The sequence below is a fragment of the Homo sapiens genome, chromosome 14, assembly GCF_000001405.40.
Source record: "Homo sapiens chromosome 14, GRCh38.p14 Primary Assembly".
Classification (NCBI taxonomy): Eukaryota; Metazoa; Chordata; class Mammalia; order Primates; family Hominidae; genus Homo; species Homo sapiens.
In genome coordinates, this window is record NC_000014.9 from 23,303,521 (window position 1) to 23,326,553 (window position 23,033).

The 23,033-nt window shown below is 46.3% G+C and overlaps 3 protein-coding genes across 13 annotated transcripts, besides 7 other annotated features; all 3 read left to right on the plus strand.

Annotated features, from left to right (window-relative positions):
* The first annotated feature begins 3,312 nt into the window (after positions 1–3,312).
* BCL2L2 (BCL2 like 2) lies at positions 3,313–8,231 on the plus strand. 2 transcript variants are annotated; one of them, NM_001199839.2, is made up of 4 exons: positions 3,313–3,427; positions 3,672–3,759; positions 4,240–4,679; positions 5,296–8,231. In NM_001199839.2, exons 3-4 carry the CDS (start codon positions 4,248–4,250, stop codon positions 5,443–5,445), a joined length of 582 nt encoding a protein of 193 aa, NP_001186768.2. In that variant the 5' UTR covers positions 3,313–3,427; positions 3,672–3,759; positions 4,240–4,247; the 3' UTR covers positions 5,446–8,231. The 2 variants fall into 2 exon arrangements, with proteins under 2 accessions (NP_001186768.2, NP_004041.2); NM_004050.5 differs by having other exon boundaries at positions 3,313–3,374.
* BCL2L2-PABPN1 (BCL2L2-PABPN1 readthrough) lies at positions 3,313–22,643 on the plus strand. Of its 8 annotated transcripts, none has more exons than NM_001387342.1 (10): positions 3,313–3,427; positions 3,672–3,759; positions 4,240–4,679; positions 16,215–16,310; positions 18,661–18,775; positions 19,479–19,546; positions 19,857–19,963; positions 20,445–20,532; positions 20,618–20,769; positions 21,727–22,643. In NM_001387342.1, the coding sequence occupies exons 3-10, from the start codon at positions 4,248–4,250 to the stop codon at positions 21,764–21,766; spliced, it is 1,098 nt and encodes a 365-aa protein (NP_001374271.1). In that variant the 5' UTR covers positions 3,313–3,427; positions 3,672–3,759; positions 4,240–4,247; the 3' UTR covers positions 21,767–22,643. The 8 variants fall into 8 exon arrangements, with proteins under 8 accessions (NP_001374271.1, NP_001374269.1, NP_001374270.1 ...); NM_001387340.1 differs by lacking the exon at positions 16,215–16,310 and adding an exon at positions 5,296–5,412 and having other exon boundaries at positions 3,313–3,374; NM_001387341.1 differs by having other exon boundaries at positions 3,313–3,374.
* Positions 4,172–5,005: an enhancer, noted in NCBI's record as "H3K4me1 hESC enhancer chr14:23776901-23777734 (GRCh37/hg19 assembly coordinates)". NCBI's record gives its function as "activates a minimal SCP1, AML or CMV promoter by ChIP-STARR-seq in naive H9 embryonic stem cells {active_cell/tissue: H9 hESC(naive)}" and the evidence as "EXISTENCE:reporter gene assay evidence [ECO:0000049][PMID:30033119]".
* Positions 17,028–17,678: an enhancer, noted in NCBI's record as "H3K27ac-H3K4me1 hESC enhancer chr14:23789757-23790407 (GRCh37/hg19 assembly coordinates)". NCBI's record gives its function as "activates a minimal SCP1, AML or CMV promoter by ChIP-STARR-seq in primed H9 embryonic stem cells {active_cell/tissue: H9 hESC(primed)}" and the evidence as "EXISTENCE:reporter gene assay evidence [ECO:0000049][PMID:30033119]".
* Positions 17,367–17,436: an enhancer, noted in NCBI's record as "active region_8170". NCBI's record gives its function as "activates an Ori minimal core promoter by ATAC-STARR-seq in GM12878 lymphoblastoid cells {active_cell/tissue: GM12878}" and the evidence as "EXISTENCE:reporter gene assay evidence [ECO:0000049][PMID:35858748]".
* Positions 17,690–18,501: an enhancer, noted in NCBI's record as "NANOG-H3K27ac-H3K4me1 hESC enhancer chr14:23790419-23791230 (GRCh37/hg19 assembly coordinates)". NCBI's record gives its function as "activates a minimal SCP1, AML or CMV promoter by ChIP-STARR-seq in primed H9 embryonic stem cells {active_cell/tissue: H9 hESC(primed)}" and the evidence as "EXISTENCE:reporter gene assay evidence [ECO:0000049][PMID:30033119]".
* Positions 17,837–18,266: a silencer, noted in NCBI's record as "silent region_5606". NCBI's record gives its function as "represses an Ori minimal core promoter by ATAC-STARR-seq in GM12878 lymphoblastoid cells {active_cell/tissue: GM12878}" and the evidence as "EXISTENCE:reporter gene assay evidence [ECO:0000049][PMID:35858748]".
* On the plus strand, positions 17,937–22,643 carry PABPN1 (poly(A) binding protein nuclear 1). 3 transcript variants are annotated; one of them, NM_004643.4, is made up of 7 exons: positions 17,937–18,300; positions 18,661–18,775; positions 19,479–19,546; positions 19,857–19,963; positions 20,445–20,532; positions 20,618–20,769; positions 21,727–22,643. In NM_004643.4, the coding sequence occupies exons 1-7, from the start codon at positions 17,950–17,952 to the stop codon at positions 21,764–21,766; spliced, it is 921 nt and encodes a 306-aa protein (NP_004634.1). In that variant the 5' UTR covers positions 17,937–17,949; the 3' UTR covers positions 21,767–22,643. The 3 variants fall into 3 exon arrangements, with proteins under 3 accessions (NP_004634.1, NP_001347480.1, NP_001347481.1); NM_001360551.3 differs by having other exon boundaries at positions 20,618–22,643; NM_001360552.2 differs by lacking the exon at positions 17,937–18,300 and having other exon boundaries at positions 18,486–18,775.
* Positions 18,327–18,396: a silencer, noted in NCBI's record as "silent region_5607". NCBI's record gives its function as "represses an Ori minimal core promoter by ATAC-STARR-seq in GM12878 lymphoblastoid cells {active_cell/tissue: GM12878}" and the evidence as "EXISTENCE:reporter gene assay evidence [ECO:0000049][PMID:35858748]".
* Positions 18,502–19,311: an enhancer, noted in NCBI's record as "NANOG-H3K27ac-H3K4me1 hESC enhancer chr14:23791231-23792040 (GRCh37/hg19 assembly coordinates)". NCBI's record gives its function as "activates a minimal SCP1, AML or CMV promoter by ChIP-STARR-seq in primed H9 embryonic stem cells {active_cell/tissue: H9 hESC(primed)}" and the evidence as "EXISTENCE:reporter gene assay evidence [ECO:0000049][PMID:30033119]".

The following is a 23,033-nucleotide window of genomic DNA, read 5'->3' on the forward strand; positions in this document are numbered from 1 at the left end:
GAGATGGAGTCTCGCTCTGTCGCCCAGGCTGGAGTGCAGTGGCGTGATCTCGGCTCACTGCAACTTCTGCCTCCCCGGTTCAAGCGGTTTTCCTGCCTCAGCCTCCTGAGTAGCTGGGATTACAGGCGTCCACCACCACGCCCGGCTAATTTTTGTATTTTTAGTAGACACGGGGTTTCACCATCTTGGCCAGGCTGGTCTTGAACTCCTGATCTCAGGTGATCTGCCCGCCTCGGCCTCCCAAAGTGCTGGGATTACAGGTGTGAGCCACCCCTGAACTCAGAGCCATACTCTGAACTCAGTGTTCTTATCTGTAAAAAAGTGGTGGAGTTCTGATTTCTAATCCAAGTGTAAGCCCTTTGAGGGCAGGGGCTTTGTCTGATTCATGGTGAGTTTTAGTATATGGTAGGCACTCAAATTATTGAATGAACAAGCACCCAACAACTCTCTTGGAGTTGGGACTGTGGAATTATAGGTCCAGTGGGAGCTTCCAAGAAGGGCAGAGCTGGCTTTTTCCCCTTTCATTTTTTTTTTTTAACATTAGTGAAAAAAAAAAGTGAAGTTGTTTTTAGTTTTTTTCTAACTTTCCTACTGATCTAATATAGCACTTACAATGTGCTAGGTACTGTTGTAAGGGTTTTACAAATACTAACCCATGTAATACAACCATCAGAGGAATAGAGACTATTATGTCTAGTTTAAAGATGAGAGAATTGAGGGAGAGAGGGGAGAGGACTCTTACCCAGGGTCACATAGTTAATAATTGGGGAGGTGGGATTAGGACCTAAACAGTTTAGCTCTAGAGTCCACGCTCTTACCCGCTTGGTTATATAAGATTAAAACATTTAACAATAATAGTTAACATCCTCAGAGTGTTAAAAGAGGGAATATTAGAGTAGAAATGAAGTCTCTAAATTTAAAGCAGCAGGATAGTTTAACTGTAAAACCACAAGTGACTAAGTTGAAAATAAACCATGAGACACATGTTATCTTATTATTATACAATTCATTCCTGTTTACATGCATTCGCACTAGTATTGACTGTAGCAATACTAGTTAGCTAGGACTCATTTTTAAAGCAATATTGACTTTTTAAATTTTACACGTATATAGAATGCATGGATGTATTCTCTTCGTATCATTATATGTGATACAATATATACAATGTATATATTGTATATGCATATACAATATAATATATATAATGCATATAAATTAATGTCTAATAAATCATACATTAATTTATGTTACAATCAAGCTGGCCCAGGAGTTTGAGATCAGTCTGGGCAACATAATGAGATCCCTATCTCTATAAAAAATGAATTTAACCAAGCATGGTGCAGTACACCTCTAGTCCCAGCTACCAGGGAGGCTGAAGTGGGAAGATTGCTTGAGCCTAGACGGTGGAAGCTGAAGTGAACTGTGCTTGTACCACTGCACTCCAGTTTAGGCCATGGAGTGAGAACCTTGTATCACAAACAAACAAATAAACCAGGAGTGCAAATGAAGACTTGGACTAGGTTATTCTCTAAAGAAGAGGGCAACCTTGCTGGTGGCAGCCAGAATGATCAGGCTAAGAGCAAAAATGAAATGAGGATGGTTGAAAGGATACAGCCATAAAGGAGTGTAATAGGCTGTGTGTTTAGAATAGAGGAGAGAATTGAGTATGGACTTGTAAATGGTGTGGATTCAGACTATGAGAACCATATTGACTATGTGAAGGCAAGAGGTGATCTTGAAGCGATAGTGTCAAAGTTACAGCATGAGATGGCTGTGCTAGCTTCTTACATATCAGCCTATGGCTTTGGGAAAATCACTTAACCTCTCCAAACCTCAATTTCCTCATTCATAGAATGAGGATAAAACAGCATAAGGACTGGTGAGAGGAAAAAATACACATGTAAAAAAAGCACAGCATCTAATAACTCCTCAAAATATGTTAGTTTTTACCTTTTTTTTTTTTTGAGATAGAGTCTCGTTCTATCACCCAGTCTGGAGTGCAGTGGCATGATCTCAGCCTCCTGGGTTCAAGTGATTCTCATGCCTCAGCCTCCTGAGCAGCTGGGATTACAGGCTGGCTAATTTTTGTATTTTACGTCTGGCTAATTTTTGTATTTTTAGTAGAGATGGGGTTTTGCCATGTTGGTCAGGCTGGTCTCGAACTCCTGGCCTCAAGTGATCCACCCGCCTTGGCCTCCCAAAGTGTTGGGATTACAGGTATGAGCCACCGAACCCAGCTAGTTGTTACTGTTATTGCTGCAGAAAAGACCTTGCTTCTCCAGTGACCATAAGGGAAGATGGTAATACAGAGGCTTGGATTGGAGGTAGAAGCAAAGGGAGCTAGCAGAATAGGAGAATTAGGTTGCCTCTTTCTGGCCTTTGGTTGGGGCACTCTTTAAAAAAGTGCCAGATCCAAGAGCCCAGGGGGCTGGCTGTGAGTGCCCTCATGTGGATCAGCTATGGTCAGACTGCTTCACGCCTGTGACCTGCCCTGTATAAATATACTGCCATGTATAAATAATGGCCCCATATATATGTAATCTGGAAGGATAAACATCAAGCTTAACACTGGCAACCTGCAGGGAGGGAAGTGGAATTGGGTGTGTATGTGTGTGTGTGTTTGAGAACCTGTATTTTATTACTCCGCACGTCTTTATTGTTTGATTTTTTTCATAATGAGAATGAGTTTGTGTGTTGGGTAAAAAAAAGAAAAAGAAAAAAACCCCACTAAAATCAATCTAATTACAAAAGAAGATGAATTAAAGAAAAGTACCGAGAGAAACTGCTTGTGATCCAAGTCCTGGCTCCCTAATGCCTGGCTGAAGCCCAGCCCACAAAGAGAACACTGGGTTAAAGGTCCTGGAGAAAAGATGGGAAAGGTTTGGTGTCTATGTGGTGTCTGCTAGCCCCATAAGGGTAAGGCACCTGGTAGACGGTTCCCAGCTTAATGGGAACTGCTCCTGTTTTCCAGGCACACAGTTCAGGGCTGGAAAAGTTCAACAAGTGCATGGAACATCGGAAACCTCCTGAAAATGCTAAATTTGCCCCGAGATGTCCCGAAGTCCGGCATATTTCTCTGGGCAGCCTAGAGGCTCAGGAGCCCAGCCCAGCCCAGCCCACCGTGCCCTCTCAGCCAGCCCTTCTTTGCCTTCAGCAGCCCTCCCTCTTCCTGAGTAGTGGCCCTTTGCAGGCCTGCGTCCCAGCCCCGCCCCTCTCTCTGGACGCATCTCTGGGCCCCATCATCACCCGGCGCCGGGCCCTCCCTCTGCCCCCCCCTTTCTCCTCCCTCCTTCCTTCCCTCCCTTCCTCCCTCTCTCCCTCCCTCCCAGCTCCTGCACCAGGAAACGGCCCGGATCCCGGCAGCGGCCTGACCCGTGAGATCCCTAACCTGGCAGGCGGGCGGGGTTGGAGACTGGCTGAGGTGGGGGTAAGGGAGGAGCTGGGCCTTTGGGCTGCACTAGGGGGAACCGGGAATAGAGATGGTGTCGGCAGGAAGCCCTTGGCCTTGGGTTTCCCGGGAGGACAGTCATTAAACATGGATTCGGCCACACAGCTGGTAGAGCGTTGGGGGCAGGGGCCTAGGCCCAGAGCTGCAACCCTAGCCCTTCCCAGGCCAGAACCTGATCCCTGGCCTTCCCCTCCTGGTTCTGATCTCCCCCTCCCCTTTCCAGGGCTCCACGCTGGCCAGGAGGATGAAAGGCCCCAGCTGGGGGCTCCTTGCCACCAGTGCTGTGTCTTAAGAGCTGCCATCCCGGCTGGGTGAGTGTCTCCTTCCTTTCTCTGTCTGGAGTAACCCATTGCGTCTCCCACCTTTCTCTTCAGCCCATCTGCTCCCCCTCATCTTGTGTCTCTGCCAACATCTTTACATCTTGCATTTGGGGAGGTCCTAAGACCCTTCCTCTAGCCAAGAAGGTGTGGACTAAGGAGACCCGGGGGTGGGGGTGTTGTAGGGGTGTCATTGAGCTGACGTTGTCTTATTGTGAAAAGAATCTAAAGTATCCTAAACAGAAAATTTACTTGTTTTACATTTAATTTGGCATATTAGGAATGTAATGGCCAGCCACTCACAGCCTAGTCTCATATCATGACTTAATTCCCTTGTTCTTGCCTCTCCCTGTCCAGTGAGTCCTGAGCATTTCCTCTCTCCTCCTCATCTCACTGGGTTGGTCAAACCAGAAGTGCTCCTTCTGATTCTCTCTTCATATATTCATGCCAGTCTTTCATCCTTGCCTCTTATAGCCGCCCGGATGGCGACCCCAGCCTCGGCCCCAGACACACGGGCTCTGGTGGCAGACTTTGTAGGTTATAAGCTGAGGCAGAAGGGTTATGTCTGTGGAGCTGGCCCCGGGGAGGGCCCAGCAGCTGACCCGCTGCACCAAGCCATGCGGGCAGCTGGAGATGAGTTCGAGACCCGCTTCCGGCGCACCTTCTCTGATCTGGCGGCTCAGCTGCATGTGACCCCAGGCTCAGCCCAACAACGCTTCACCCAGGTCTCCGATGAACTTTTTCAAGGGGGCCCCAACTGGGGCCGCCTTGTAGCCTTCTTTGTCTTTGGGGCTGCACTGTGTGCTGAGAGTGTCAACAAGGAGATGGAACCACTGGTGGGACAAGTGCAGGAGTGGATGGTGGCCTACCTGGAGACGCAGCTGGCTGACTGGATCCACAGCAGTGGGGGCTGGGTAAGAAGCTTCTCAATTGCCGCTCTGCACATCCTTCTGCAAAGCTGGTCTCCAGGGGGAAGATGGGGGCTCTGATTGGAGGCTGAGGCAGCTATGTTGGGAATGAGGTACGGGGCTGAGTCTCCCCGTCTGGATGGAATTAGATTGAGAGATGCCTGGACTCTGCACTCCAGGGCTGCCATGCAGTCAACACTGGATGGGCTCATGGTCCCAAGCAGAGGACAGAATACACACCCAAGGAGTGCCTGCAGGGGAATGTTGTCAGGGACTTTTTACATCTGAGTCATGGCGTGGGAGGTGGGGAGGACCAGGGATGGGTGGTGGTCAGGCAAGCCTTGGCAAAGGATGCTAGTTCTGAGCAGAATTTTTCGCCAAGGAAAGGATGGAATTCACTGGAGGCAGAGTGGGCAGATGAACCAGTCTCTCAGGGTGGGGGTGCACCTGGGGGGATCAGAGGGGCTTGCAGGGAGAAGAGCTTTGGCCAGAGAGGAGCTGGGTATGGGGTAGTGCTCGCAGTGGATGGAACTGGAACTCTTCCTCTCCTCTTCTCTCCACTCTTTCCTCTCCTGATATCCCTTTCTCCTTCTTTCTCTCCTGCTTCCCTTCTCTCCCACAGGCGGAGTTCACAGCTCTATACGGGGACGGGGCCCTGGAGGAGGCGCGGCGTCTGCGGGAGGGGAACTGGGCATCAGTGAGGACAGTGCTGACGGGGGCCGTGGCACTGGGGGCCCTGGTAACTGTAGGGGCCTTTTTTGCTAGCAAGTGAAAGTCCAGGGCCAGGTGGGGCTAGGTGTGGCTGGGGGCCAGGAGAGCAGGAACAGAACAGAGAAATGCCCTTGGAAGAAGTGGAGTTGGTGGATGGGTGGGCATGGAACAGGATGGGCAGAGAAAGGGTAGTGTGTGAGGGAGCTGAGTAGGCCAGGTAGGCGATTGGAAGAGTGAGCAGGACACAGAGGGGAGGGGAATGTTTTGGCAAGTTTAGGGGCACAGGAGATGTAGTCGTTCCAGGGCTGGGGGAGGTGGGAGGGATCACGCCTATAGGTGTGGGCACATGAAACGACCTGGAACTTGCTTCACAGCCCTGAGGAAGGTGGACTTACATAAGCAGCTGTATTCCATTAGATGAGTGGGATTTAGGGAACGCAGAAGGCACATCCCTTTGGAATGGAAGCTTAGGGGTTCTCAGGTGATAGGGAGAGGTGGCTGTTAACAGTGGGCTGCTTGGACACGCGTGTGCATGTGCACGCATGCTGGTGTGCATGCTGGGCTGCCTGGCAAATCTGGTGGTGATGGGATTCCTCAAGGAGAAAACATTCCCTCTTGCAATGGCAAGAACTAGGGGCAGTTCTCTGTCCCTCCTCCCAACCCCTCCTTTCCCCTGCCCTTGTCCTGATGCCTCAAGGCTTAGAGAGAAACATTGTATCCAGACCGAGGGCTCTGCTGCTTCTTTCCAGAAAGTGATTGGCAAGGCTTTGGAGAGAAGAGCAGTTCTGCAGCTGGCCTTGTTCCTTCATCATCCCCCTTCCTTGTGCATTATGCACTTGCTGCTGCCTCCTGGGCTCTGATAGAAGGGCAGGGCTGTTGAGCCTGGATGGGTGGAGGCTTAGGTAGCCGGACCTGCCTGCCACCCTCCTCTCCCACTCAGGCACAATGGTGCCTAAAGTGTTTCCAATCTCTGGGACCTCTGTACCCAAACTGAAACTCTAAATTGGGGCCCTAACTAATTTTCCTTTTGAGGTTGTGGGCATAAGTGCTGATCTAGAATACAGTCTGGGTCCCACACTGTGTCTCAGTGAGACTGTTGATGCCTTGAGATGACCATTTCAGATCTGAATCCCATGGGTGTGAGGGTGATGGGTACTCCAGGACTGGCCTATGCTGTGTTGTGGGCTTTGGTTCGGCTTTATCAGGGGCCAGGCATATGGGTTCTAGAGTACCTACCATGACCTAGAAGCATTTATGATTTATTTGAAGCCACACTGTTTGCATGGGTGTTACTTGTCTGTACCTCAGAGTCTGAGGATGTTAACTTTGGAACTCGCAGTCCTCTAGAACAGCTTCAGATTATGGCTTTTTCTTTTGAGGAAGAAATTATTCACTCCAGATGCATGCCCTGAGCCAGACCTCACTGCTGCACTTTCCAAGGTGCTAAGATTGCTGCTCTCCAATGCTAACTTTCTGACACAGTGCTCTAGAACCCTGCCTGTGGTCCTGAGCACTGATCACCTTAGCTAGACCATGGTTGACTCTTCTTGGAGATTTTCACTTGGTCCTAGAATGTGGCAACGTAGTTGTGCTCGCCAGAACGTGGGACCAAATTGGCCTCAGGTGTTGAGTCCAGACTTCTGCTTTTGAGAGAGGGCTGCACTTTTTCATGGTATTTCTAGGGGAGGTGGTAGGCTGCATGTGCCACTTGGTCTTGTTGTGAGTATGCTGACACCAGAAACTCAGAGCCAGCTTGTGGCAAGCAGTTGGGGTGGGGGGTCTCTGACTTGCTCAGGACAAACTAGGCCAGTGGTTTTCAAACTGCTTGGCAGAGCCCTGAAGTTTCCTAGGGGTTGCCTCAGGAGTCCTTGGGGAGATGAAGGGGGTGGGGAGCTGAGCAGGCTGGGCAATTTGCCCTCAAACAGAACAGCTCCCCTTGTAGCTGTCTTACATATTGGGGTTCAGGGTAAGATTTTATTTGCATTAAGGGGTTTGCTGCTGAAAAAAAGTTGGAAAACCACTGACTAGACCATCGGCTCCAAATTGGAGTCTGTGCTTCCTTCCCCAGGTATGGAGCACACTCTTCACCCTACCCTCTACCACAGGACACATATCCCTGTTAGCATTCCCCGGGACCTTTAGCCAAGAGGAGCTGCAGGGACCATGGCCAGGTTACCAAAATGCCCTGCTCTGAAGCCTTGACACCTGGGTGGAAAGAGAGGCTGTTTTCTGAAAGGGTAAAGGGCTTGGTCTGGATTCCCAGAAGCATAGCTTAGATGGGACCACAGTGGGCAATTTTGACCTGTCCTGCCCTTCTTAGCTTGAAGGGAAACCCCAGAGACTCTTCTGTCAGGGAAAACTAGGGACTCTCTTCTAGAGCCATATAGTTCCTTGGGATTAGCTCTTGGCCAAGAAGGCTGAGTATGGTTCCCAATTTTTAAATCCATTTCATTTTTTAAAAAATAAGGGAAATAAATGTAATTGCCATTTTTCAAAGATTAAGTAGGAGGAGAGGGGTTTCTTGCTCTCCAGAGCCCAAAGGGACAAATAGGGACTTTGTTTAGGCCAAGGAAGGAGCGGAAGTAGGGCAACTCGGTCCTGCGATTATTAATCCCACTCCCCACTTATTCTAGGGCACACAAACACTATTTTACTTTTTTAAAATCATAAAACGGCAGAACAGATTTGGTTAGTTTAGAAGAAAAGAAAGCTCTATAAATATAAATCTATATTCCTGTATTTTTATTTAATAATTTATAAATACCAAGTTCATTTGACTTTTATTTTTGTGTAATATGTAATGATCGTATTAAAAACAATAAATAAAGCCCAGAAGTTTAATGAGAAGGACTGAACAGGGTTTGTGACTTCTACACTGTATAGCCTGGGGTCAGGACATTTCCTTGATCCAATCATCTCTTCATGACCTTGTTAAAGGCAAGAATTAGAATAACAGGGATTTGAGAAAGTGTTGGGATCATTAAGAAAAAAAGAGTCTTTCCCCCATCCTCACCCCACTCCTATACCAGCCAAATGGTCAAAGCCAAGAATTCCTTCTATTTCAACCTGAGCCTTGGGAGGGTGTGTGTATATGGTACTCTGGGACTGCCACTAACAATAACCAAATGAGAAACAAAGAAAACCTACCAAAAATCTTTGTGTGATAGTAATCAAGCCCCCAGTTGTGGTTCAGGCTCTAATCAGAAGTGTGTGATAATAATGAACATTTCTCCATGGTGCCTTCCTGCCTACCTCAGACTTAAAAATAGGTCTGGGCCAGGTGCGGTGGCTCACACCTCTAATCCCAGCACTTTGGGAGGCCGAGGCGGGCAGATCACTTGAGGTCAGGAGTTCGAGACCAGCCTGGCCAATATGGGGAAACCCTGTCTCTACTAAAAATACAAAAATTAGCCGGGCATGGTGGTGCGTGCCTGTAATCCCAGCTACTCAGGAGGCTGAGGCATGAGGATCACTTGAACCTAGAAGGTGGAGTTTGCAGTGAGCCAAGATCGAGCCACTGTACTCCAGCCTGGGTGACAGAGGGAGACTCTATCTCAAACAACAAACAAACAAAAAATAAGGCAAGGCGGAGTCTGGCAAAAATGGGAGTCCCTGCTTCCTTTGCTGGTCCTGTGAGACATTTGGTTTCAGCCATTTTAATGCAAATTGATAAACTGGATGGAATTTCTAAGAATATTCAGCTCATCCTTCTCTACCTCTAATCTTGGACCACATCAAAATCATGTTAACTGAAACAGTGATCCTAATTTTAAATTTCAGGTGGGAATTTCTAGCCTTTCTGTAATCCAGTGCAATAGACTGGTACTTGGGTTTATGTGTTAAATTGCAAGAAATATAATTGTTTAGAGGAATCCAGCATTCTCTTTCTATTCTTTATACAAAAGTCTACAGGGGAAACCATATTAAAATCAGAGAGTGGCTTAGTGAATATGGCACTATGGGAAAGGAAATTAGATGTTCTTAATAGTTAATATCATCAAGTATGATAGCTGGTGTATTTATCTCCACTGTTGTGTGATTGATTTAATGATTGATTTGCATTTGCCTAGTTCCAAAAAATATTTGCAATATCTTACTATAATACACAAAATAATAGGAAAACATAAATTTTTTAAGTTGGGTTGAATTTCAAGTCAAGGTTAAGTAAAAAAAATAAGTAGGGGTAAAGGGAAAATTGAAATAAGATGGCGGCAAAAGGAAAATTAATGCACAGAAAAACATTCTATAAGTAGCATTTCCAAATACTAAAGCTAGGCTGTGAATTCAGCTGTGAGCTTCTTGGTGGCTAAAGCAAATTAAAATACAGAATGAAATTCACATTCCTCTTAGGATTTATAAAAGCCTATCAGTTACTCAAGAGGGGCAAAAAAAATTTTGTGGCTTTTCTAAGAAGACAATGATATAGTGGACACCACCTTCTGTGACATCTAAAAGCAAATATGATGTTGAGTTTTGACCACTGTTTCTTCTAAAAACACCAAATGGAGATTCAGAAGGTCCTAAGCGAGAAATAACACTGGTGGAGAACTGTATGAAGGAAATATAATCCATCTATCGCTTTAGATAGCCCAAAATTTAATCCTGTATTAAACCAAATCATCATAGAGCAGCATATTTGGGCTAAATTGTGATGAACCTAGTAGAACACACTTAGGACCTTCTGAATCTATTAGAAGGTCCTAAGTGTGTTAGGACAAATGACACCTTCAATAAAGTTGGGCAACACTTAGTTACAATTATTAGTAAATGGATAGATTGTAGATATTCTGTGTTGTTACTTTTTTAAATTTTTATTTATTTATTTATTTTGAGATGGAATCTCGCTGTGTTGCCCAGGCTGGAGTGCAGTGGCGCGATCTCGGTTCACTGCAACCTCCACCTCCCGGGTTCACTCCATTCTCTTGCCTCAGCCTCCCGAGTAGCTGGGACTACAGGCGCCCGCCACCACGCCCGGCTAATTTTTTGTATTTTTAGTAGAGACGGGGTTTCACCGTGTTAGCCAGGATGGTTACCATCTCCTGACCTCGTGATCCGCCCGCCTCGGCCTCCCAATGTGCTGGGATTACAGGCGTAAGCCACCGCGCCCGGCCCTCTGTGTTGTAACTTAATAGCAAATCCTTTGAAGACTTTAAAAGCTGCTTTAAGGCTGGGCGCGGTGGCTCACGCCTGTAATCCCAGCACTTTGTGAGGCCGAGGCGGGCGGATCACGAGGTCAGGATCACAAGGTCAGGAGATCGTGACGGTCCTGGCTAACACAGTGAAACCCCGTCTCTACTAAAAATACAAAAATTAGTTGGGTGTGGTGGCGCAGTCCCTGTAGTCCCAGCTACTTGGGAGGCTGAGGCAGGAGAATCGATTGAACCCGGGAGACGGAGGTTGCAGGGAGCCGAGATGGCGCCACTGCACTCCAGACTGGCGACAGAGTGAGACTCCGTCTCAAAAAAAATAAAAATAAAAAATAAAATAAAATAAAATAAAATTTGCCTTAAATGTAGATACAGGAGAAATACAGAAATAAATCGACTATTTTGAAACTCAGCAGAAAATACACCATAATGAAATGCTGTGTAGTTTATTCAGTCAGTCATTTATGCAGCAAATATTCAAGCATCATCTGTGTGCTAAGCACAGTTACAGGCTCTGAGGTAGAGTGAACAGACAGATGCAAATCTCTGTTCTCATGTTGCTTATATTATAGTAAAAGAAACAGAAAACTTAACAATTATGTAATATGTGAGAAGGCGATGAATACCATAAAGAAAAATAATTCATTGAGGGGAATGTGTGTGTATATATACACACGTAAGAGTTCAATTTTAAATTGAGTGGTCAGAGAAGGCCTCATTTCTAGGGTGACTTTTGGGTAAAACTATGACAAACAAAATTGGAAAAATATATTTATTGACATGGGAAGATGTTTGTCTTTTTTTTTTAATTGGGTAAAAAAAGAAAATAGATTAGAAAATAATATATACAGTATGATCCCATTTTGCTAAAATATTTATATCTGTGTGCCTTGATATATATTTGCATATTGAAACTTTCAGGAAGTATATATGCCAAAATATCATTAGTGATTGTCTCTGGATAGTGGGCTTTATGAGTGCTTTTATTTTGTTCTTTTTGCTGTCAGTATTTTCTGATTCTTTGACAATGAACATATATTTCCAGATATTTCCAGTACAGTATATGAAAACAAGTTCTTTAGGTACAAAATTTTTAAAAAGTTAACGAAGCAGGATGGAAATTAAGCAGCCCAACAGAGGGTCCTTCACATTTAAATGGCTACCCCACTTCCATGCAAAGGCAAACTTAGGGAGCCAAGGTAAGCAGGACCAGACCACATTAGAAGATTATTGAGGTCTGCTCCAAGACAGAGGTCAGTAAAGGAGAAAGACTCCATGGTTCTACATCAGCACTGTCCAATAGAAATATAATGCAAGCCACATGTAGTTTTACATTTTCTAGTAACCTCATTTAAAATGCAAAAAGAAATTATTAAACCAATTTTAATATTTTATTTAGCCCAGTATATAAAAATATTATCATTTCAACATGGAATTAATATTAAACAGTTATTAATGAATTATGTCACATTCTGTTTTTCATACTAAGTCTTCAAAATTCAGTGTGTATTCAACACTTAGCACATCTCAAGTTGGACTACTCATGTTTCAAGTGGTCAGTAGCCATGTGTGACTAGTGGCTATCATATTAAAGTGTAGCTCTAGATCATAGGTCATTATTATAGTCTGTAAAAATTTCAAAGTAGTTCCAGATCATAGAGCATTATTGTAGTCTGTAAAAATTTCAAGAAAGGAGATAAAAATAGGGATGAAACTACCAAGACGTCAAATATTTATGTCGTTTGGGGAGAAAACTTTTCTGGGAAGAACTATGAATGCCCTCACCCATTTTTACTACTTAATTCTCCTTTTCTTAACTCCACTGAGCCATTCCCTTCTTCTTCTTCTTTTTTTTTTTTTTTTTTGAGATCGCCCAGGCTGGAGTGCAGTGGCGCGATCTCGGCTCACTGCAACCTCTGCATCCCGGGTTCAATTGATTCTCCTGCCTCAGCCTCCCGAGTAGCTGGGACTACAGGCGCAGGTCACCACGCCCAGCTAATTTTTGTATTTTTAGTTGAGACGGGGTTTCACCATGTTGGCCAGGATGGTCTTGATCTCCTGACCTCGTGATCCACCCACCTCGGTCTCCCAAAGTGCTGGAATTACAGGCGTGAGCCACTGCGCCCGGCCGATTCCCTTTTATTAATACATTTTCCCGTCTTCTGGGGCACAGTATCATTGGAGTTTCACTTTTTCCAAAACTCCATGGTCCTTTGTTTATAGGTTATTACTTAGAGAGAATTATAATGGGTGAATCTCACACCATTACATACCAAATTTCAAAAAATTCATTCTCAGAGGAAAACTTATCTCTTTGATATTCTCTATGCATCAACAACAGGCAGGATAATAAATACGAGTATTCATTCATTTATTTTTTTACTTTTTTAAAAAAATAAGATTATTCATTACTGAAGATGACTCATTCAGTTATCATTTACTGAGCACAGAGTGATAGGCAAAGGGAACACAAATATAAGATGGTTCCCTGTCTTTTACAGTTTATAGACTAATAGGGAAGGATCTTACAAGTCACCATTCAAAAAGCTTTTTTTTTTTTTTGAGACAGTCTCACTCTGCTGCCCAGACTGGAGTGCAGTGGCACGATCTCGGCTCACTGCAACCTCCGCCTCACGGGTTCAAGTCATTCTCGTGCCTCAGCCTGCTGAGTAGCTGGGATTACAGGCGCACGCCACCATGCCCAGCTAATTTTTGTATTTTTAGTAGAGACGGGGTTTCGCCATGTTGGCCAGGCTGGTCTCGAACTCCTGACCTCAGGTGATTTACCCTCCTCGGCCTCCCAAAGTGCTGGGATTACAGGCATGAGTCATCGCACCTGTCCCTCAAATAGCCTTTTAAATATGTTTGCTTTTTTCTTTTTTTGAGACAGGGTCCTACTCTGTTGCTGAGGCTGGAGTATTGTGGCATGATCATAGCTCACTGCAGCCTGGAACCCCTGGGTTCAAGTGATCCTTCTGTCTCAGCGTCTGGATTAGCTGGGACTATGCCACCACACTCAGCTAATGTGTTTGTTTCTTTCATAAGGTAATTATGCCTAGTAGAAGAAGTTTGAAAGTTGGAGTGATTTTTTAAAAATAAATATGTAATGGGCTGGACATGGTGTCTCATGCCTGTAATCCCAACACTTTGGGAGGCTGAGTTGGGCAGATGGCTTGAGCCCCAGGAGTTTGAGACAAGCCTAAGCAACATAGTGAGACCTTGTCTCCACAAAAATAGAAAAAATTAGCTGGGCATAGTGGTGCACACCTGTAGTCCCAGCCACTTCGGAAGCTGAGGAGGGAGGATTGCTTGAGCCAGGAGTTTGAGGGTGTGGTCGGCTGTGATCATGCCACTGTATTCCAGCCTGGGCGACAACGACCCTGTCTCAAACAACAAAGGCAGCAAAATAAACAAGTAAATAAATAAATAATGATTGTGGAAAATTTGTAGAACATAGAAAATTATAAAGAAAATGAATCATAATGCTGTCACCCAGAGACAATTACTATTTTGGTATACTTCTTTCTAGTATTTGTTTGTCTGCTTTTATGATCATGCAATTTTGTATACGCAATTCTGCTTACCATTATATTGCAAGCATTTTTTCTTGATGTTAAAATGTTTCAAAGTCATAATGACTATATACAATTACTTCTACTTGTGTACAGTAATTTTAATGCCCACTTGGTCCTTTATCTGTATTTTTTCACTTTGATAAAAATACTTATTCTGGCTGGGCATTGTGGCTCACGCCTGTAATTCCAGCACTTTGGGAGGCTGAGGCGGGCTGATCACCTGAGTTCAGGAGTTCGAGACCACCGTGGGCAATATGGTAAAACCCCATCTCTACTAAAATACAAAAAATTAGCTGGGCTTGGTGGTGGTGCGCCTGTAGTACCAGATACTTAGGAGGCTGAGGCACAAGAATCGCTTGAGCCCTGGAGGTGGAGGTTGCAGTGAGCTGAGATTACGCCACTGCACTCCAGCTTGGTTGGGCTATGGAGTGAGACTCTGTCTCAAAAAAAACAAAACAAAAACAAACAAACAAAAAATATTTATTCACAAATTGGATTACATTTTTAGAAGAGATAAGAAATAGGATTACTGGGTTAAGAATCTCAACTTTTTTTTTTTTTTTTTGGAGAGAGTCTCCCTCTGTCACCCAGGCTGGAATATAGTGTCGCGATCTTGGCTCACTGCAACCTCCACCTCCCAGGTTCAAGCCTTTCTCCTGCCTCAGCCTCCTGACTAGCTGGGATTACAGGCGCCCACCACCACACCCAGTTAATTTTTGTACTTTTAGTAGAGACAGGGTTTCACCATTTTGGCCAGGCTGGTCTCGAACTCCTGACCTTAGGTGATCCACCTGCCTTGGCCTCCCAAAGTGCTGGGATTACAGGCCGTGAGCCACCTCACCTGGCTCTTTTTTTTTTTTTTTTTTTGAGACAGGGTCTCACTCTGTTGCCAGTCTGAAGTGCACGTAGCACCAATTATGGTTCACTGTAGCCTCAGCCTCCCAAGTAGCTGGGCAGGGACTACAGGCACACGCCACTTTGCCCAGCTAATTTTTGTATTTTTAGTGGAGAATGGGTTTTGCCATATTGCCCAGGCTGGTTTTGAACTCCTGGACTCAAGCAATCTGGCTCCCAAAGTGTTGTGAGCCACTCCGCCTGGCCTTAAGAATCTCACCATTTTAAAAGCTTTTGATATATACTGCCAAAGAATAGAAAGATTGTACTGGTTCTTGCTCCTTTTTTCCTCCCATGCCTAAGTTTTTAAAAAAAATCAGATATAGTTGTAATTATATATTATGTACAATTTTACATTCTTCTTTGGCTTAACAAAATTATTTTCGCATGTTTGTCATACTATGTAACCCTTTTAAGAGATGCATAATAATTTTTTTTGGATATAATTATAGTTTGCTTAAACTTTTGTTTATTGTTGGAATTTAGTCTTGCCATTTTTCACACATAATTTTTATGTATTAAAGCAGGCCTTATAGTAGTAGTGATCTGAGCTTTGAAAGCTGGCTTTGAATTCCCTGCACATTATTATATATATTACATAATATATATTATGTATAATATATATATAATTTTTATTTTTTCCTTTGAGACAGAGTCTTGCTGTTGCCCAGGCGATTCTCCTGCCTCAGCCTCCCGAGCAGCTGGGTTTACAGGCATGTACCACCATGCCCAGCTAATTTTTGTATTTTTAGTAGAGATGGGGTTTCGCCATGTTGGCCAGGCTGGTCTGAAACTCCTGGGCTCAGGTGATCCTCCCGCCACAGCCTCCCAAAGAGCTGGGATAACAGGTGTGAGCCACCACGCCCAGCCAGCCCTGCACACTTCTAATTAGTCCAATGACTTAGGCAAGTTTCTTCATTTCATTAAGCCTTTTTCTTTTTCCCTAAAAAAGGTTATGGTTTTGGAAATACTTTCCCCGTGGGGTTGTTGTGAGAGTCCAGTGAAATAATAAGGAGTGGTGCTTATTACAAAATCAAACGCTCAACAAAAATAGGATTCAAAGCCATTTTTAAAAATCACATTTCCTTTTGTTGGCTTGATTAAATTGGGTACCAATAAGATTAACAAATCTTGATTAGGTTAAGATTAGTATAAAAGACCTTTCTTCCAGGGTATTCAATCATTTAGAGCTTGTCTTCGGTGCTCAACTTTAGTTATCCCAGATCACTGAAGCTGAGATGGCTGATGAAGTAATTTGCAGTGAAATTTTAAGCGACTGTGACTCTGCTGCAAGTTCCCCAGATCTTGAGGTAAGGAATTGTGAGAAAAAGTGGGGGTGAGGGGAATAGTGGGGTATAATGAGTCACTTGATTTTTTGGTTTGCTAATGAGGATCTTCTCTTGTCCAAATCCCTCGGCCAACCATGTTTGTTTAACTTTTTGGTTGGGCTATATGTATCTTTCGAACTGTAGGTTAGTGTGCCCACAAAAATTTCTCTTGCAAACGTACACTGCCATTCCTTTCTTTTTAATAAATGTGTAGGACTGCTACCAAAATATGGCAGTCCTGCCTTCCAGGGCTAGGTCTCATTGGTACTTGGGGTGCAGGGGTGTAGTGGGAACCTGCCAGGAGAAATTCCTCTGGGATCTTGGGGGCTTGAGGGCTTAAATGAAGGGTGGCACCCAAATCCCCAATCAATGCCTGTTCAATCAACAAACATCTAACAGGACATTATGTGGTAGGCATATTGCCAGGCCGTGGAGATGCGAATATAAATAGGAACCGGCCCCTCATCTGCAGGCGCTCACAACCTAGTTAGGAAACAGTAAAACAATTAAGCGCGCCGTGGAGATAGGCCCACTTGTCCTGGGAAATGAGGGGAAGCTGGGGTTTGCAGTGGTTTGATTGAAGGGGGACTACATGTTAGAGGCACAGACTGGGTGCAGGTACACCCAAAGGAACGAGAAGAGTGGAAGGAAACAACATCCACAAAGTAACCACATGCTGGCGTATCGAAGGCCGTGATTTACGGTTTTGAGACTTTACCTCGCCAGCAAAGGGGGGCCAGTCTGTTAGCGGTGCAGATTGGAGGGGTGACATTGGAAGCTGTCCAGGAAAAAGAAAATGGAACTGGGGAGCAGAAGGCCTACGCAAGAGGGCGGGACAGACAGGACTTGTGACTAGTAGCTCTGGACTGAGGAATCCTCCCTGCTTTCTGGTGCGGGAGAGCTAGTGGATGATGGTGCCAATAACCTGGATGGGGAAAGTAAGCTCCCTCCTGGAATGCTTCATTCACAACCTCCATTTTCAGCAACATCCCATCTACTGGTGCTTCCTGGTCGAGATACAAGTTTCCTGAAACTGCTGCTCTGTTTTGGGCCTCACCCGGCCAACAGCTCACTAGCTGGCAAGCAGTAGTATCAAGATGGCGGCCCCCTAGGACTGGCTAGTCATGTGACCTCGGGTTTCCCAAGTTTGAAGCCCGGCAGTCCTTTCGGGGGCAAGGTTCACCTGTCACGAAACGAGTGTCACCCCTTCGACTCTCGCAAGCCAATCGGCATCTGAGACTGGGCCACTGCGGTGAGGCGATCGGAAGATTGGTCCTTTCCAGTCGCCTAGCTAGGGCCAATCACGGAGCGTCCCATACTTCGCGGGCCCGCCCGTAGGCCGGGGAGAAGCAGGAATATCGTCACAGCGTGGCGGTATTATTACCTAAGGACTCGATAGGAGGTGGGACGCGTGTTGATTGACAGGCAGATTTCCCCTACCGGGATTTGAGAATTTGGCGCAGTGCCCCGCCTTAGAGGTGGGGCCTTATTTGATTGCCAAGTAATATTCCCCAATGGAGTACTAGCTCATGGTGACGGGCAGGCAGCTTGACTAATGAGTCCTCGGCGTGGCCGGCGCAGCTCTCCAATCGCCGGGCGGCGGGCCCCAGTCTGAGCGGCGATGGCGGCGGCGGCGGCGGCGGCAGCAGCAGCGGGGGCTGCGGGCGGTCGGGGCTCCGGGCCGGGGCGGCGGCGCCATCTTGTGCCCGGGGCCGGTGGGGAGGCCGGGGAGGGGGCCCCGGGGGGCGCAGGGGACTACGGGAACGGCCTGGAGTCTGAGGAACTGGAGCCTGAGGAGCTGCTGCTGGAGCCCGAGCCGGAGCCCGAGCCCGAAGAGGAGCCGCCCCGGCCCCGCGCCCCCCCGGGAGCTCCGGGCCCTGGGCCTGGTTCGGGAGCCCCCGGCAGCCAAGAGGAGGAGGAGGAGCCGGGACTGGTCGAGGGTGACCCGGGGGACGGCGCCATTGAGGACCCGGTGAGGGAAGGAGGGCGAGCGAGCAGGCCGGCGGCTGGCCGGCCGGGTCACTGGAGGCCCAGAGCTCGGGCGAGCGGGTGGCAGGCGGGGGGTGGGGTTGGGCGGGGAATAACGTGGCTGGGGCCGGGTCGGGCCGGGGATGGGTCAGCGATCACTACAAGGGGCCCGACTGGCTTGATTCGGGCGTCACGGTTGCCTAGTGTTGTTCTAGAGAGGGTAGCTTTTCTTTTATCACGACCCTCGCATGGGGCGAGGGAAATGGCCGAGCATGGCTGAGGCCGCGCTCTGGCCGAGAGCAGGGCACAGCCCCTGCGTTGGTTCCTCTTAAGCTGTCCTCCATACCCTCCCCACTTATATTAGGAGCTGGAAGCTATCAAAGCTCGAGTCAGGGAGATGGAGGAAGAAGCTGAGAAGCTAAAGGAGCTACAGAACGAGGTAGAGAAGCAGATGAATATGAGTCCACCTCCAGGCAATGGTGAGTAACTGGCGGTTGCACGCGGAGCCCGGGTTCTCGGGTTGGAAGGGTTGTGGGGAGGATGGGGAATGTGGGGTTAGATACTCGGCACCCTGGAGCTGCTTGTCTGAGCTATTATGACTGTGCCGCGGTCATAGTCCGTTGTGTGTTCCTCTGACCTTTGTGAGGCAGAACGTATATTTTGGTGGTGGTAGCCTTGTGCCTCCCTTTGTGCCTGTTATAATTGTGTTGCTCTTTGTTCTTAGTCTACGTCTATCTTTCTTTGTAGAGGTTGCGTGCTCGCATTTGACCTTCAAATCTAATAGTTTTTCCTCCAATTGGAGACGCTTTAGGATTCTAAGAGAAAGCAAGCTGCAAGGGGTTTCCCCTTTAATCTAGAAATGTGGAGTCTCAGCCCACTTAATTTTGCTCACTCTTAAAAGCATTTCAACCAAAGCCATTCATTAGGGATTTGATTTGGAGGCAGGAGGGATTCCTATACTGTTTTAAGTGTGTATTAATTCTTTCAATTTATTGAATATTTAGTGAGTACCTGCTATGCACTAGGCACTATTCTCGGTTGTGGGTACAGCAGGGAACAGCACAGACCAAAATCTTTGCCTTCACTGAGCTTATGGGATAGTGCTGGTGGTGGAAGTGCAACATATTGGTCAAGTAGAAAACAAGTGTGTGGTTTTTGTAAAAAATTATTTTTTCCTGATAGCTGGCCCGGTGATCATGTCCATTGAGGAGAAGATGGAGGCTGATGCCCGTTCCATCTATGTTGGCAATGTACGTACTGGGGCTCTGACTGGGGTTGGGGGCAAGTTCTTCTTTTGGGGAATTATTTAATAGTCCTGAAAGGAACATCTCCGGGATAGATGTGGTTTTGGGTGTGGAGGGAGTGTGGGAAGGAGGTTAAAGGTAATGGAATGATCAGTAATCAGCAAAGGCTCTGGGTTTGGAAGGAAAAGAGATTAATTCCTCAAATTACCAGATTTCATGTGCTTTGGTGTATGATGGCCCAGACCAAAGGCTCGGGAGGGTTCCTTTTGAGACAGGAATTTGCCTGGTGCCTGTGAAATTTTTCTCCTCTCATCAGGTGGACTATGGTGCAACAGCAGAAGAGCTGGAAGCTCACTTTCATGGCTGTGGTTCAGTCAACCGTGTTACCATACTGTGTGACAAATTTAGTGGCCATCCCAAAGGGTAAGTAAAGGGGAGTAAGTTGAGATAATTTAAATTACAGTGTACAAATAGATAAATTATGTTTTATATTGAGCAGTAAGTTATTTGGTGTTAACACAGGTGATCTGTGTCATTTAAGATCATGGCATTAATGTTGATATATCAGGAGTTGCACCTAAATGTCTTCAGAGGCCAGATAACAAAAATGAAGGCTAGATGTGGGTGGGATTACGAACTAGAAGGGGAGGGGCAGCTTCTACTTGGCCTATTATGGCCATATGGAAATTCAGGCCCTGTGTGTCTTATTTTTACAAATTTCAAAGAGTAGCTGGAAATTTTAAAATTTAAATGATTTCGAATGATTGAAATTTTCCATTTAGAAGAATTTTGACAAATAAAAAATATAACTGCATTGTAGCCCAAAACGAAGCATGCCTGCAGGTTGAATTTGACCTGTGAGGTATTTGTAACCTCAGAGAGATACAATGACAATTCTTTTCAGGTTTGCGTATATAGAGTTCTCAGACAAAGAGTCAGTGAGGACTTCCTTGGCCTTAGATGAGTCCCTATTTAGAGGAAGGCAAATCAAGGTAAGCCTATGTCCATTGCTGTTCTAGTTGTGTATAAACTCTCCAGGTTGCCTTTAAGGCTATCATTTGTTCATCTCTGACTCAGGTGATCCCAAAACGAACCAACAGACCAGGCATCAGCACAACAGACCGGGGTTTTCCACGAGCCCGCTACCGCGCCCGGACCACCAACTACAACAGCTCCCGCTCTCGATTCTACAGTGGTTTTAACAGCAGGCCCCGGGGTCGCGTCTACAGGTCAGGATAGATGGGCTGCTCCTCTTTCCCCCGCCTCCCGTGAGCCCCGTATGCTTCCTCCTCTCTGGTCTGAGGAACCTCCCTCCCCCCACCCCTCCCCGTGGTCTTCAGGAACTTTGTCTCCTGCCTGTGCAGGTTGAGGAAGGTAGTTGCAGGCCAGGCCAGAAGGCCAGCCTCATCATCTTTTCTGCAGTAGAAATTGGTGATAAGGGCTGCATCCCTCCCTTGGTTCAAAGAGGCTTCCACCCCCAGCCTTTTTTTTCTTGGGAGTTGGTGGCATTTGAAGGTGTTTGCGGACAAAACTGGGAGGAACAGGGCCTCCAGGCAGTGAAAGCACTGCTTGGACATTTGTTACTTTTTTCGGAGTTAGGGAGGGATTGAAGACTGAACCTCCCTTGGAAGAATACCAGAGGCTAGCTAGTTGATCCTCCCCAACAGCCTTGTGGGAGGATTTTGAGATACTTATTCTTTATTTGAGCCAGTCTTGCAAGGTTAACTTCTCACTGGGCCTAGTGTGGTGCCCAGGTTTTTGCCTTGCTTCACTTCTGTCTCTACATTTAAATAGACGGGTTAGGCATATAAACCTTGGCTTTTCATAAGCTCTACCTGCCTATCCCCAGGAGTTAGGGAGGATCTATTTGTGATGGCCTAGGGTTTAAGAGCTGTGGAGGACTGAAAACTGGATAAAAAGGGGGTCCTTTTCCTTGCCCCTGTCTCTCACTCAGATGCGCTTCTTTTTCGCCACTGTTTGGCAGTTTTCTGTTAAGCCCCCCTCCCCCTGCCCCAGTTCTCCAGGTGCGTTACTATTTCTGGGATCATGGGGTCAGTTTTAGGACACTTGAACACTTCTTTTCCCCCCTTCCCTTCACAGTAACTGGGGCAGGGGCCTACGGGGAGGGGCTTGTACTGAACTATCTAGTGATCACGTTAACACCTAACTCTCCTTCTTTCTTCCAGGGGCCGGGCTAGAGCGACATCATGGTATTCCCCTTACTAAAAAAAGTGTGTATTAGGAGGAGAGAGAGGAAAAAAAGAGGAAAGAAGGAAAAAAAAAAGAATTAAAAAAAAAAAAAAGAAAAACAGAAGATGACCTTGATGGAAAAAAAATATTTTTTAAAAAAAAGATATACTGTGGAAGGGGGGAGAATCCCATAACTAACTGCTGAGGAGGGACCTGCTTTGGGGAGTAGGGGAAGGCCCAGGGAGTGGGGCAGGGGGCTGCTTATTCACTCTGGGGATTCGCCATGGACACGTCTCAACTGCGCAAGCTGCTGCCCATGTTTCCCTGCCCCACTTCACCCCCTTGGGGGCTGCTCAAGGGTAGGTGGGCGTGGGTGGTAGGAGGTTTTTTTTTTTACCCAGGGCTCTGGAAGGACACCAAACTGTTCTGCTTGTTACCTTCCCTCCGTCTTCTCCTCGCCTTTCACAGTCCCCTCCTGCCTGCTCCTGTCCAGCCAGGTCTACCACCCACCCCACCCCTCTTCTCCGGCTCCCTGCCCCTCCAGATTGCCTGGTGATCTATTTTGTTTCCTTTTGTGTTTCTTTTTCTGTTTTGAGTGTCTTTCTTTGCAGGTTTCTGTAGCCGGAAGATCTCCGTTCCGCTCCCAGCGGCTCCAGTGTAAATTCCCCTTCCCCCTGGGGAAATGCACTACCTTGTTTTGGGGGGTTTAGGGGTGTTTTTGTTTTTCAGTTGTTTTGTTTTTTTGTTTTTTTTTTTTTTCCTTTGCCTTTTTTCCCTTTTATTTGGAGGGAATGGGAGGAAGTGGGAACAGGGAGGTGGGAGGTGGATTTTGTTTATTTTTTTAGCTCATTTCCAGGGGTGGGAATTTTTTTTTAATATGTGTCATGAATAAAGTTGTTTTTGAAAATAAAAATTGTTTGGCCTTTTGGGTGTAAGGATTATTTATCTTCCTATTCTCTCTTAGATCGCAGATGGCTATTAATTCTGCCTTGTGGTAGAAGTACTGGTGTTGTGGAAGGGAGGTTGCCACTTGTGAATTAAGGAGTAGGAATTACATTACAACTAGCAGGAACATTATGTGTTTAGTTGAGAATGATAGGTTTTCTGGATAACATGTAACCCTGATTGGCATTTGAGAGAGAAATAAGCCTGGGAAAGTAAAAGAATAGCTGAATTGGGCCGGGCATGGTGGCTCACTGCTACAATCCCAGGACTTTGGGAGGCTGAGGTGGGCAGATCACGAGGTCAGGAGATCAAGACCATCTTGGCTAACATGGCGAAACCCCACCTCTACTAAAAATAC

Bases quoted from the DNA above. Each gene is read 5' to 3' on its own strand.
- BCL2L2 (NM_001199839.2), top strand. From the start codon at position 4,248: ATGGCGACCCCAGCCTCGGCCCCAGACACACGGGCTCTGGTGGCAGAC. The intron at 4,680-5,295 runs GTAAGAAGCTTC...TCTCTCCCACAG, and splicing joins TCCACAGCAGTGGGGGCTGG to GCGGAGTTCACAGCTCTATA.
- BCL2L2-PABPN1 (NM_001387340.1), top strand. From the start codon at position 4,248: ATGGCGACCCCAGCCTCGGCCCCAGACACACGGGCTCTGGTGGCAGAC. The intron at 18,776-19,478 runs GTGAGTAACTGG...TTTTCCTGATAG, and splicing joins GAGTCCACCTCCAGGCAATG to CTGGCCCGGTGATCATGTCC. The intron at 20,533-20,617 runs GTAAGCCTATGT...TCTCTGACTCAG, and splicing joins TTAGAGGAAGGCAAATCAAG to GTGATCCCAAAACGAACCAA.
- PABPN1 (NM_004643.4), top strand. From the start codon at position 17,950: ATGGCGGCGGCGGCGGCGGCGGCAGCAGCAGCGGGGGCTGCGGGCGGT. The intron at 19,964-20,444 runs GTAAGTAAAGGG...AATTCTTTTCAG, and splicing joins TTTAGTGGCCATCCCAAAGG to GTTTGCGTATATAGAGTTCT. The intron at 20,533-20,617 runs GTAAGCCTATGT...TCTCTGACTCAG, and splicing joins TTAGAGGAAGGCAAATCAAG to GTGATCCCAAAACGAACCAA.